A 12,369-nucleotide genomic window follows, 5' to 3' on the forward strand; every position below is an offset into this window, starting at 1 on the left:
GGGAGGGGCTCCCCTCCATGGGGTGGGGTTCCCCTCCAGCTGTTGGTGAGGCACACTGTACACCTGCACACCTGTGCCTGGGACTGTTGGGCTGGACGTGTAGGAACATGGAATGGCCCCTGGGCCTTCGGGTGACTGAGACAGAAGTACAGGCCCAGCAGGTCTGAGGACAGGGCCTCCTGATGACTGGACCCAGCCTGGACAATGGCCGGCAGCTCCCAGCCTTGCCACAGGCTGACTGGAATGCGTGGTGTGGTGGAGCCCAGCACTGAGGGCCGGACGTGTGTTTGCAGCATTGTTCTCACAGCCACCTCGGAGGCTTCCCTGCTCTGGGGCAGATGCCGTTGCTGGAGCCGTGGTGCTCCCAGAGGCACCCTGGGCTCAGCTCAGCCCCCATAGGCCAGTGCCTGGAGTGGCTGTGACGCTGTGGCCGGCGCCTGGCGTGGCTGTGACGCTGTGGCCGGCGCCTGGCGTGGCTCTGACGCTGTGGCCGGCGCCTGGCGTGGCTCTGACGCTGTGGCCGGCGCCTGGCGTGGCTCTGACGCTGTGGCCGGCGCCTGGCATGGCTGTGATGTGCTGACTCCGGCACCATCAGTTCCTTCCCCTATTCTGGGGCAGGTGGGGACCACCTCTTCACCCTCCCTCATGGGCAGGGCTGGCCTCTGCTGAGGTGGCCCCTCACTGGGCCCAGGCATGGAGACCCAGTGGTCCTAGCCCTCGGTGTAGTCTATCCATGAGGCACCTGGCTGAGCCTGTTCCTCTCACTCCACAGCAGCCTCCTTGGCCCTGACCACTGGCCAACGAGGACACTGAGAAGGCACCCTGACCTTCTGTCCTCATTAGCAGGGAGCAGCCATGTCCAGATAAGGCTGTACATCAGAGAAAGCTGAGTGAGGCTGGCAAGAGCTGGCAGCCGCCCTCGGCCGCCCGGGCGAGCCTTGGGACGGGCTGGGTGGTAAGTGCTGGTGATGCAGGAGCAGAGAGCCCCGTGGAACTCTCTCCATGAGGACGGCGGTGCCCTGGGGCCCAGCTACGAGGATGGCTGTGCAGGCACCTGGAGCCTGGGGATGGCAGGGCGTGGGCTGAGCATGTGGAGCACCAGCCTGTGACATTCCTCTGCCCAGGGGCAGCAGGGCACGGAGCGTGTGTGGCCAGCTGCCGCCACAGGCCCCCAGCTCCCACGCGGGCAGGCTCGCGACCGCACCAAGGGGGCAGCTCCTGGAGACAAAAGCTCCTCAGTTTTCCCTTCCAACAAAACACAGTCAGCAGGTTTGGGACCAGCTGCCTGGGGTCTTAACCATCTGTGCTCTGTGCGCGCCCCCACCCCCTTGCCTGCCTGGAGGAAAGTGGTGGGGTTGACATGCGCCTCGAGGGCCAGCCGGGCGCTGGTGCATTTCTCAGAAATCCGTGAAGTGCTCCCTTGTCCTGCTCGTGTTCTGTGCTGTCCTTGGGAGTGGCGCGGCCGCTTGCCAGGGCTGCAGAGTTGGCCACGCAGCCTCTCCAGGAGGCCTTGAGCCAAGCACAGGATGCAGCCCAGCAGTGGTGGCACCGTGGAGTGGCTGGGCGGAAGAGATCCTGGTCCACGCTGCTGTCTGGAGGGCAGGGTCCTCAGGTGACCAGAGTCCGTGCAGGAGCGAGTGAGGACAGGGCTGGGGCAGGCGGCAGGATGAGGCCGCCCAGAGCAACTCAGTGAGTGAATGAGTGAAAGCACGCACGCCCCATGCTCCAGCGGGGCCAGAGTGTGCTGTTGGGTGAGTCTGGCCTTCCTTCCTGGGGTTGTGGGCCCTACTTGTGGGAGGCCACTGTGGGGAGGGCGTCCTTGTAGAAGTGTTAATCAGAGTGAAAGCCAGTCCCTGTGCACTGCTGCTGGGAATGTAGCATGGTGCAGCTGTTGCGGGGAACAGGACGGCAGCCCCTCGGGAAATGAGACAGAGTTACCGTCAGAGTTACTGTGTGAGCTAGCAGTTGCACTTCTCAGTAGAACCCGGGAGCACTGACGCAGGGCCTCCAGGGGAGATCTCCACCCTGTGTTCACAGCAGCCTTACTCACGGTGACTGCGTGATGGACGCAGCCTGTATCCATCCTCGGACAAACAAGTCAGCACCATGTGGCCCTCCGCACCACCCAGCATCACTGGGCCCTCGGTCAGCACCGCGTGGCCCTCCACACTGTGGAATATTACTTAGCCCTGAAAAGGAAGGAAATGGACACAGGCTGCAACGTGGATGGAACTTGAGTATATTGTGCTGAGTGGAATAAGCCAGTCACAGGAGGACATGCACTGTATGATCCCATTTGTGTCAGGTCCCTAGAGTCATTGCATTCATAGGGACGGAGGTAGGATGGTGCAGCCTGGTGATGCCAGGGGCCGGGGAAGGTGGGAATGGGGAGTTGGGGTTGAATGGGTAGTTTCAGTTGCGCAAGGTGAAGAGAGTTCTCGGGATGGATGGCGGTGAGGGCTGCACAACAGCATCCACGCACGTAGTGCCACTGACCTGCACACTGAAAAATGGTTCAAACGGCAAGTTTTACGTTATATTTACCACAATAAAAAAGAGAAATAGACATCGTCAAGCTGTTCTCCAAAATAAGGCTGTCACCGTTTACCTTCCTACCAGAAAAAAACAGTTAAGTCCCAAAGCCAGGGGGAGCACCAGTGTTAACCTCCTGGGTTGGGGCTGGCTGAGCCCGTGGCTATGCCTCCCTGGGCTTAGGTGGCAACCCTGCGAGGAGCTTGGGCCTCTCGTCTTTTGGGTTCCTGTTCAAAATGGGAAGTGGTCTCCAAACCCCAGGGCCCACCTGAGCCCCCTGAGATGGGAACCTCTCCAGACCTGCCCCTGAGATCCTGTCCCACCCCTGGACAAGGGCCTCTGTGCCTCTGAACAAAACTGGGGGGCCTGGTGCAGAGTCCTAGCTCAGGCTTCCAGAAGTCAGTGGTTTGAAGGGGTGCCCACCCTTGCTCCGTTGGGACATAGGGACGCAGGTGCCTGTCTCAGCCCCCACATGTGCACCCCCAGGGGCAGCAGCGTCCCCTCCAGTCTCTGGTTTGCATCATGCACAGGAGTGGGTGGGTGGGAGTTTCAGTCTCCCAGAGAGCATACTGTTGGGCCATGCTGTCTCTGGCCTCCTCACCCATGGAGGTCCTGCCCCGCCCCCATCTGAGGCTGGGTGGCCGAGGGGTCTGTTCTCAGACTGGGGCCTGGCGCTGGCCCGGTTTCCTGGAGGAGGAAGCGGGGGAGTGACCTGCGGAGGACTTCCAGCCTCCCCTTCCGCCTGCTGTGGGCTGCATGGCGCTGGGGCTCTGCCCAGCCCTGGAGAGTGTTGGCTGCTCTCCTTCCAGCTGACATGGAAATGCCATGCAGGGCACGCACGTGGGGCACTTTCTGCTGAGTCAGGTTTCTCTGACCTTCCTGAAATGTCACTTGTTCTGTAACTCACAAAAACTGGGGTGCTGGGATATGGTGCCTTCCTTCTCCCGGAAGTCCCTGCCGAGGGGGGCGGTGGTGGGGCATTCCCAGGGGGTGTTTGTCCTTTGCTGTCTTTACTTTCCCACCTTGTTCCTTGGGCCTCCCCTGACCTATTGACCCTGCCACAGCTCGCTCACCCCAGGTCCCTGGGGGCTGTGCAGGATTCCGGGTCCTCCAGGGCCAGTGTGATCCTTGCTGGGTTCTCAGAGTGACCCTGGAGGGAGGTCCCCTGCCGACCCTCACCTCCCGTTCCCAGGTCATCTGCCCCAGGGCCAGGTGTCCATCCACCCTGACTGTGACCATGTGCCTGTGACCTGCGTGACTGACCCCTGCCCTTGGGTGCCCAGGCCTAGCAGTGCCCCATGCCACTGGGTCCCCAGGCATCTGCCAGGAAAGGACAGCTCTAAAGTGGCCAGGGCAGCAGGGGTCCTGATGTCTGTTGAAGGCCCTTGGAATTCCCTGGCTTCATTGTGCCATCTCCCCGCTCTTCTCCCTCCCTCCTGCCTCCTGTCTTCCTACTCTCTCCCCTCCTTCCACCCACCCAGCTGCTCTCCTCTCTGAGCCTGGCCCCACAACCAGAGGTGCTCACTCCTGCCTTCAACTGACTGCAGGTATCCAGGCATCTGGGCTGAGGGTGCCTCTGTGGCTTTGTTGACCAACCCAGGCTGACTTCAGAGGTGCTCTTCAGCCCCTGCTTTGCAAGTTCCTGGGGACCCGTGGCTGTCACTTTGGCCCCTTGATGTTTATGGTGGTTCCCGTAGCTAAGTGGATGCTGCCAAAGATGGAAAGTGGGGGACGCTATTCCACTGCCACTCAGAGCGAGACCAGGTGCTTCAAAAAGACTAGCAGGGTTGGGTGTGGTGGCTCATGCCTGTAACCCTAGCACTTTGGGAGGTCAAGGTGGGGGGACCACCTGAGGTCAGGAGTTTGAGATCAGCCTGGCCAACATGAGAAAAGCCCATCTCTACTGAAAATACAAAAATTAGCCGGGTGTGGTGGTATGCACCTGTAGTCTTAGCTACTTGGGAGGCTGAGGCGAAAGAATGGCTTGAACCCGGGGGCAGAGGTTGCAGTGAGCTGAGATCATGCCATTGCACTCCAGCCTGGGCAACAAGAGCAAAACTCTGTCTCTATAAAAAAAAAAAAAAAGGAAGAAAAAGAAAAGACCAGCAGGGCCAGGTGTGGTGGCTCATGCCTGCAATCCTAGCACTTTGGGAGGCTGAAGGGAGAGGATCTCCTGAGCACAGGGGTTCAAGGCTGCAGTGAGCCGTGATTGCACCACTACACTCTAGCCTAGGTGACAGAGCAAGATTCTGTCTCTATTAAAAAAAAAAAAAAAGGAATGGAGATGACAAAGAACAAGTCTTAATTGAATATTAACAAAAGCCAGAAGCTGATTGGAAAAGCTTAATAAAGTAGCAAACATGCCTGGCTAATTTTTGTATTTTTAGTAGAGAGGAGTTTCACCATGTTGGCCAGGCTGGTTTCAAACTCCTGACCTCAGGTGATCAGCCCTCCTCGGCCTCCCGAAGTCCTGGGATTACAGGCATGAGCCACCACATCCGGCCAATTTTTGTATTTTTTGTAGAGATGGGGTTTCACCATGTTGCCCAGGCTGGTCTTGAGCTCCTGGGCTCAGGTGATCCACCTGCCTTGGCCTCCCAAAGGGCTGCGATTCCAAGTGTGAGCCACCGCGTCTGGCTAAGGAGTATTTTCCTTAGCAGATACAAATTTATTTAAATTAGCTATGCTAGTTAAAACAATATGGAATTGGCAGAAGTATAAACATTGACTAATGGAATGTACCAGCAGAAACACATGCGATCGTAATGTGCTTCAGAAATGGCCTCATTCATCTGTGGGGAAAGGATATACTTCTGGGTAAATGGTTTGGTGATAACTGAACATTCATGTAGGAAATAAAATGCAATCACAACACACACAACTCCAAATGGATGGATAATCTCATTGTGAAAAAGAGGAAGGAACAAATGGGGGAGTGGGATGGATTAAAGCAGTGGTCCCCAACCTTTTTGCCGCCAGGGACCGGTTTTGTGGAAGACAGTTTTTCCACAGACGGTGATGGGAATGGTTTCCAGTGAAACTGTCCCACCTCCGATCATCAGCCATCAGATTCTCATAAGCAGCGTGCAGCCTGGATCCCTCGCGTGCACAGTTACAATAGGGTTCTTCCGGAGCTCAGGTGGGAATGCTCACTCCCTGGTGCTCATCTCCTGCTGTGCGGCCAGTTGCTAACAGGCCAGGAACCTGTCCTGGGGGTTGGGGACCTCTGGTCTACAGCACAGGTGACTTTTCTGTACCAGAGCTAGGAATGAAGGGCTGGCTGAGCTGGTGCTTCCTGCCACCTGTGTAGTGGTGCAGGTGTCCATGGTCCAGGGCTGGCCAGGGGCATCTCCTGTCCTGGCTTGGCTTCTGCCCCTGGGTCCGTGGTGGCTGCCTGGGACCTGCCCTTGCAGCCAGGGTGAAAGGAGTGGGCAGGGCCTGCTGCCTCTGCTCAGGGCCCCTAGTGGGGCTGCTTGCTCAGCACCCTTGCCCCGTCTCTGGCCACGTAGCCGTCACCCAGCTAGCATGGGGAGGCTCGCTACCAAGGGGTGGGGGGCTGGAGAACGGAGCTTGGAGACAGCTGGCAGTCTCGGCCACACATAGAGACACCCGCTCCTGAGACCTGCAGTGCCTGCAGAGGGGAAGAAACGGGGCTGGCGGGGAGAGCACACAGTGCGTTTCTGTGGTCAGGCCCCTTTATTTCTTCAAATAGATCCCAAGTGTAGAGAACATGTGCTCATTCTTGTTGGCAGGCCTGTGGGTTTTTGTGTCTCACTCTGAACTTTTCCTGTATGCCTCTCGCTTCTCTCTGTCAGAAAACAAAACAGAAGCCTCTATTCTCTGGGATTCGGATTCAAGTCGGCTCTTTTATTCACCTATTTCGAGCAGACACAATGAAAGAGGAAACAGATAACACTGTGGGTATTCAGCAAGTTGTCTTGGATGTGAACATTGAGTTTCCACTTGTCACTGTGATTTTATTTTATATTGAGTTGTTTTTAAAATATGCTTTGCTTCACTTTCGTTGCTGTTGAATCTATTACAGCTGCACGGTGTCCTGAACACAGTGGCAGGCTGGTGATGAATCGTCTTCTGTAGGTTTTCTGGTGTCTTTGTTATGATTCTCTCAGGGCCAAGTGTGGTGCACCTGGCCTGGGCAAACCTTTAGGCCTCGCTCTCAGAACCAACTGTGGATAATAAGCAAATAACATGTTTTGTTTATCTGCGCAGTTTCTGAATGCAAATGATTCTTTTTATTCCTTATTTTATTTATTTATGTTTTAGAGACAGAGTCTTGCCGTGTTGCCCAGGCTGGAGCTTTTTATTCTTCGTGTTTGCACAGTGGCTGTAGCTATGTGTAGTGACAGCAGAGACAGGCCTGAGAGGGGCAGCCACGTTCCCCCTGGGCAGGATCTGTCTGCTACGGGACCGCAAGCTGCGACTTTTTCCTTCTAAGTGTGCGGAGAGGAGCCCCTGCCTAGGGACGGGGAGCCGTAGCCTGCTGTTTTTGTGACAAGCATCTTGGGCGAGGGGGCACTGGGCTGTGCTGCATAGATGGTGAGCACTGGACTCACCCCCAGCCCCAAGTCAAACGAATGTAAGGAACGTGAGCTTCTGGAAACGAGCGTGGAAGCCTGAGTGGTGAGGAAGGGAAATCTTGCAGTACCTGCACACTCCCCAAATGCCTCTTGTGGGTTTGCAGTACCTGCGCACTCCCCAAATGCCTCTTGTGGATTTGTTTGTTTGTTTGTTTACAATTAGTTCATCCACAGCAGGATCCAAGCTGCTGCCTGTGTGTGTGTGTGTGTGTGTGTGTGTGTGTGTGTGTGTGTCTATGTGTGAGAGAGAGAGAGACAGGGTCCTCTGTCACCCAGGCTGAGTGTAGTGGTGCAATCACAGCTGACTGCAGCCTCCAACTCCTGGGCTCAGGTGATCCTCCCACCTCAGCCTCCCAAGTAGCTGGGACTGCAGGTGCGCCCCACCAAGCCCAGCTAATTTTTGTATTTTTTTGTAGAGACAGGGTTTCGCCATGTTGGCCAGGCTGGTCTCGAACTCCTGGCCTCAAGTGATCCACCCGCCTCGGCCTCCCACAGTGCTGGGATTACAGGCATGATTGTGCCCAGCCACAGTAGAGCTTCTTGTTTGCAGTTGGTTGGTGTGTGTCTTGTGGCTGTCTTTAATAAAACAAAAACTTTGCAAGTATCGTCTGGTAGGCCAGGCGCAGTGGCTCACGCCTGTAATCCTAGCACTTCAGGAGGCCGAGGTGGGCGGGTCACTTGAGGTCAGGAGTTCAAAACCAGCCTGGCCGATATGGTGAAACCCCATCTCTAGTAAAAATATAAAAAATTAGCTGGGTGTGGTGGTGCACGCCTGTAGTCCCAGCTACTCAGGAGGCTGAGGCAGGTGAATTGCTTGAACCCGGGAGGCGGAGGTTGCAGTGAGCCAAGATCGCACCACTGCACTCCAGCCTGGGTGACAGCAGGACTCTGTCTTAAAAAAAAAAAAAAAAAAAGACAGTATTGTTATGGTAAAGGTTCACCCCTCACACCTTTTTTCGTATGCAGCTCTGAGCTTAACATCCACCATACAACCAGGCACAGAACACTGGGCAGTCCACCCAAAACAGTCCCCAGCAGCCACCCTCCCTACTGACCTGGCCTTGTGCCCCCAGCTCTGCCTTTTCCAGAGTGCCATAGAGATGGACAAAAATGGTGTGTGCCCTCTTGACACGGGCGTCTCTCACTCAACACGATGCCTTCCAGATCCATCCTATCACGTATCGATCTGTTCCTAGCTGTTGCTGAATAGTACCAAAATGTCCTTGTCTTTGTGTGAAGGACATCGGGGTTTCCAGTGGGTGGCAGTTATGAATAGAGCTGCTGTGAATGTGCATTAGGGATCTGTGTAGGGACATATGCTTTCATTTCCCTTGGACCAATTCCAAGGGGTAGGATTGCTGGGTCCTGTATGTTTAACTTTGTAAGAAACTGCCAAACTGCTTTCCAGTGACTCTGCCATGTGGCGTTCTGCACGTTCAGAGTATATGGAAGTCCCAGTGGTTTTGCTTCCTCGCCAGCATTTGGTATTAGCTTTTTTTATTTTTCATGTTTTTTAAGCCATTCTAATAGGTGTAGTTGGTATCTCGTTTGGTTTTAATTTGCATTTCCCTAATAACTAATAATTTTGAGCATCTTTTCATGTGCTTATTTGCTATCAATGTATCTTTTCTGGTGAAACGTCTGTTCAAATATTTTGCTCACTTTTTTTTTTTTTTGAGATGGAGTCTTGCTCTGTCACCCAGGCTAGAGTGCAGTGGCGCGACCTCAGCTCACTGCAACCTTTACCTCCCTGGTTCAAGCAATTCCCCTGCCTCAGCCTTCCGAGTAGCTGGGACTACAGGCTTTTCTCACTTTTTATTAGGTTGTTTGTTTTCATATTGTTGAGTTCTGAGAGTTCATATATTTATATATTCTGGATAAAATTTTTGTCGAATGTGTGATCTGTGGCCAGGTGTGGTGGCTCATGCCTATAATCCCAGCACTTTGGGAGGCTGAGGTGGGCAGATCACTCGAGGCCAGGAGTTTGAGACCAGGCCTGGCCTACATGTAGCTGGGACTACAGATGTGTGCTGCCGTACTTGGCTAATTTTTATACTTTTTGTAGAGACAGGGTCTCCCTGTGTACCCAGGCTGGTCTCAAACTCCTGGGCTCAAGTGATCCACCCACCTCAGCTTCCCGAAGTGTTGGGATTACAGGCATGAGCCACCCTTCCCTGCCTCAACTTTTAATATATGGTTGAATTTGCCTGGAAGTTTTTTTTTGTTTTGTTTTGTTTTTGGAAGATTTAATTAATTAATTGATTTATTTTTGAGACAGAGTCTCACTCTGTCCCCCAGGCTGGCGTGCAGTGATACGATCTCGGCTCACTACAACCTCTGCCTCCCCAGTTCAAGTGATTCTCCCACACCCGGCCCAGAAAATTTAACAATTAATTCAATTTATTTAATAGTTGTAGGACTATACCAGCTATCTATTTCATCGTGGGGAGTTTTAGTAGTTTGTGGCTTTCTAGGGAAATGAAAATTGGTACATTTTATCAAAGTAGTCAAATTTTTGTTCATGAAGTTGTTTATAGTATTTCCCAGTAGTCTGTAAGGTCTGTAGTGCTTTCCTTCTTTTACTTCTGATAATGGCAACTTTTGTCTACTTTCTTCTTTGTTTGGGTAGAGGTTTTATGAATTTTATTGATCTTCCCAAAGAACTAGCATTTGGTTTTATTTTATTGTTTATCTATTTTCAGTTTAGTTGTTCCTCTTTATCATTATAATTTCCTTCCTTTTGCTTACTTGGGGTTTAATATGTTCTTCTAGTTTCTTAAGATGGAACCTTAGGGCTGGGCGCAGTGGCCCAGTAATCCCAGCACTTTGGGAGGCCGAGGTGGGTGGATCACCTGAGGTCAGGAGTTCGAGACCAGCCTGGCCAACATGGTGAAATCGTGTCTCCACCAAAAATATAAAAAATTAGCTGGGCGTGGTAGTGCACACCTGTAATCCCAGCTGCTTGGGAGGCTGAGGCATGAGAATCGTTTGAACCCAGGAGGTGGAGGTTGCAGTGAGCCGAGATCACACCACTGCACTCCAGCCTGGGCAACACAGTGTGACTCCATCTCAAAAAAGATGGAATCTGGCTGGGCGCAGTGGCTCAACGCCTGTAATCCCAGCACTTTGGGAGGCCAAGGCAGGCGGATCACGAGGTCGGGAGATTGAGACCATCCTGCCTAACACGGTGAAACCCCGTCTCCACTAAAAATACAAAAAATTAGCTGGGTGTGATGTCGGGCGCCTGTAGTCCCAGCTACTCGGGAGGCTGAGGCAGGACAATAGCGTGAACCCAGGAGGCGGAGCTTGCAGTGAGCTGAGATCACGCCACCGCACTCCAGCCTGGGCAACAGAGCGAGACTCCGTCTTGAGAAAAAAAAAAATGGAATCTTTAGATTGTGTATTTGAATCTTTTTTCTTTTCTGACATAAGCACTTAATGCTATAAATTCTCATTTCAGAACGGCTTTAGCTGCACCTGGCAGATTGACGTGCTGCGTTTTCATTTACATTCCATTCAGAGTGTTCTCTGATTTCCTTTGAGACTTCCTTTGATCCATAGGTTTTTGTTTTTTAGTTTCCCAAGCATCCCAAGAGGATTTCCCCGCCATCTTTCTGTGATAGATTGCTAGTCTAACGCCATTTTGGTCAGAGAACGTATTCTTTGTATGATATCAGCTCTTTTGTATTTGTGAAGGATTTGTGGTGTGACCCAGCCTATGGTCTATCTTGGTTCATATCACCTCTCTTAGTCTCTCTCCTCTGTCTTTCTTCCTCTTGCATTGTGTTGAGTAAGAGAGAGTCTGTGGGAATCCGGGCAGCCCCAGTGGAGTGGGGTGGAACCAGGACGAGGGTCCCTGCTGGAGGAGCGCCCCCTCAGGCCAGGCCCTTCCGCGTTTCTGCCAAGTCCTAGGAGACTCTGACTTAATGCCTGACTTATTTTGTGATATACTGAGTTATGAGAATGACTTTAAAGCTCACAGGTGGCCTCAGAGTGCACCTTGTGCTCACAAACACTGACGGGCGACAGTGGACAGTCTGACTGCAGCTCGGGGAATGAGTTGAAGGACTCTGACAGAGATGTCTGTAGTAGGCAGGCTTGTCACACTCATTGTTTAAGCTCCATGCCTGTTTACCTAAAAAGCTGGACTTAAATACATCGAACTTGGAACTCAGAAAAATAAAACATCTTCTGACCTGGGTAGGTCCGTCTTCCAGTGTTGGAAAGCAGACTCATTTCCGGGTTAGTCCTGTGCTGCTTTTTGACCTACACTGACCCGATCTTGTTTGGAACAGGCCGCCCTGTGCATGATTTGGTCCCATGCAGAATCACACAGCCCGGTTGGTGACTTTGATGGCTGTCAGGCACTGCTCGCGTCTGCAGCCCTGTCTGCAGAGAGCACCCCGTGGCCCTGCATGCACGGCTCCCCCACCCCCGCCCACACAACATCCCCCCCACCGCCTGCACGGCTCCCCCACCCACACCCGCACAACTTCCCCCCCACCCCCTGCACAGTTCCCCCACTCCCACGCGCACGACTTCCCCCCCTACCCCCTGCACGGCTCCCCCACCCCCACCCGCACGGCATCACCCCCACCGCCTGCACGGCTCCCCCACCCCCACCCGCACGGCATCACCCCCACCGCCTGCACGGCTCCCCCACCCCCACCCGCACAACTTCCCCCCCACCCCCTGCACGGCTCCCCCACCCCCACCCCCACGCGCATGACTTTCCCCCCACCCCCTGCACGGCTCCCCCACTCCCACGCGCATGACTTCCCCCCCACCCCCTGCACGGCTCCCCCACTCCCACGCGCATGACTTCCCCCCCACCCCCTGCACGGCTCCCCCACCCCCACCCCCACCCGCACGGCATCACCCCCTACCCCCTGCACGGCTCCCCCACCCCCACCTGCACAGCATCCCCCCACCACTGCATGGCTCCCCCACCTCTGCCCACACAGCTTCCCTACCCCCGCCTGCACGGCTCCCCCACTGCCTGTTGTCCGCTGTCCCCGTTGCACCTCCCACCTGCTGCCCTGCTGTCAAGTCAGGCGCGTCCCACCCAGAGTGCTCTGGTGTCTGCCCCTTGGCTTCTCTCAGCAGCTCAGTGGAGTGTAGACAGTGTAGTAGATCATCACCTGAGCAGCCAGGATGGGAGTGGGGTCTCTGTGGTCTCCATTTTACAAATGGGTTGACAGGTGCTCAGGAAGCCCTGTGATGTCCTGAGGCCGCCCAG

At 54.3% G+C, this 12,369-nt stretch overlaps 1 protein-coding gene across 16 annotated transcripts in view, besides 6 other annotated features; it reads left to right on the plus strand.

Annotated features, from left to right (window-relative positions):
• The window catches only part of PACS2 (phosphofurin acidic cluster sorting protein 2), a 97,374-nt gene that overhangs the window by 34,134 nt on the left and 50,871 nt on the right, over nucleotides 1-12,369 (plus strand). The window lies entirely within an intron of this gene.
• Nucleotides 2,653-3,318: an enhancer, noted in NCBI's record as "H3K27ac-H3K4me1 hESC enhancer chr14:105803897-105804562 (GRCh37/hg19 assembly coordinates)". NCBI's record gives its function as "activates a minimal SCP1, AML or CMV promoter by ChIP-STARR-seq in naive H9 embryonic stem cells {active_cell/tissue: H9 hESC(naive)}" and the evidence as "EXISTENCE:reporter gene assay evidence [ECO:0000049][PMID:30033119]".
• Nucleotides 3,319-3,984: an enhancer, noted in NCBI's record as "H3K27ac-H3K4me1 hESC enhancer chr14:105804563-105805228 (GRCh37/hg19 assembly coordinates)". NCBI's record gives its function as "activates a minimal SCP1, AML or CMV promoter by ChIP-STARR-seq in naive H9 embryonic stem cells {active_cell/tissue: H9 hESC(naive)}" and the evidence as "EXISTENCE:reporter gene assay evidence [ECO:0000049][PMID:30033119]".
• Nucleotides 6,552-6,611: an enhancer, noted in NCBI's record as "active region_9145". NCBI's record gives its function as "activates an Ori minimal core promoter by ATAC-STARR-seq in GM12878 lymphoblastoid cells {active_cell/tissue: GM12878}" and the evidence as "EXISTENCE:reporter gene assay evidence [ECO:0000049][PMID:35858748]".
• Nucleotides 6,672-6,721: an enhancer, noted in NCBI's record as "active region_9146". NCBI's record gives its function as "activates an Ori minimal core promoter by ATAC-STARR-seq in GM12878 lymphoblastoid cells {active_cell/tissue: GM12878}" and the evidence as "EXISTENCE:reporter gene assay evidence [ECO:0000049][PMID:35858748]".
• Nucleotides 7,383-8,224: an enhancer, noted in NCBI's record as "H3K4me1 hESC enhancer chr14:105808627-105809468 (GRCh37/hg19 assembly coordinates)". NCBI's record gives its function as "activates a minimal SCP1, AML or CMV promoter by ChIP-STARR-seq in primed H9 embryonic stem cells {active_cell/tissue: H9 hESC(primed)}" and the evidence as "EXISTENCE:reporter gene assay evidence [ECO:0000049][PMID:30033119]".
• Nucleotides 11,312-11,501: a silencer, noted in NCBI's record as "fragment chr14:105812556-105812745 (GRCh37/hg19 assembly coordinates)". NCBI's record gives its function as "represses an EF-1alpha promoter that drives an FKBP-Casp9 reporter gene in an ReSE screen in phorbol 12-myristate 13-acetate-treated (for megakaryocytic differentiation) K562 erythroleukemia cells {active_cell/tissue: K562(+PMA)}" and the evidence as "EXISTENCE:reporter gene assay evidence [ECO:0000049][PMID:32094911]".

The sequence above is a fragment of the Homo sapiens genome, chromosome 14 (genome assembly GCF_000001405.40).
Source record: "Homo sapiens chromosome 14, GRCh38.p14 Primary Assembly".
NCBI classification, from domain to species: domain Eukaryota; kingdom Metazoa; phylum Chordata; class Mammalia; order Primates; family Hominidae; genus Homo; species Homo sapiens.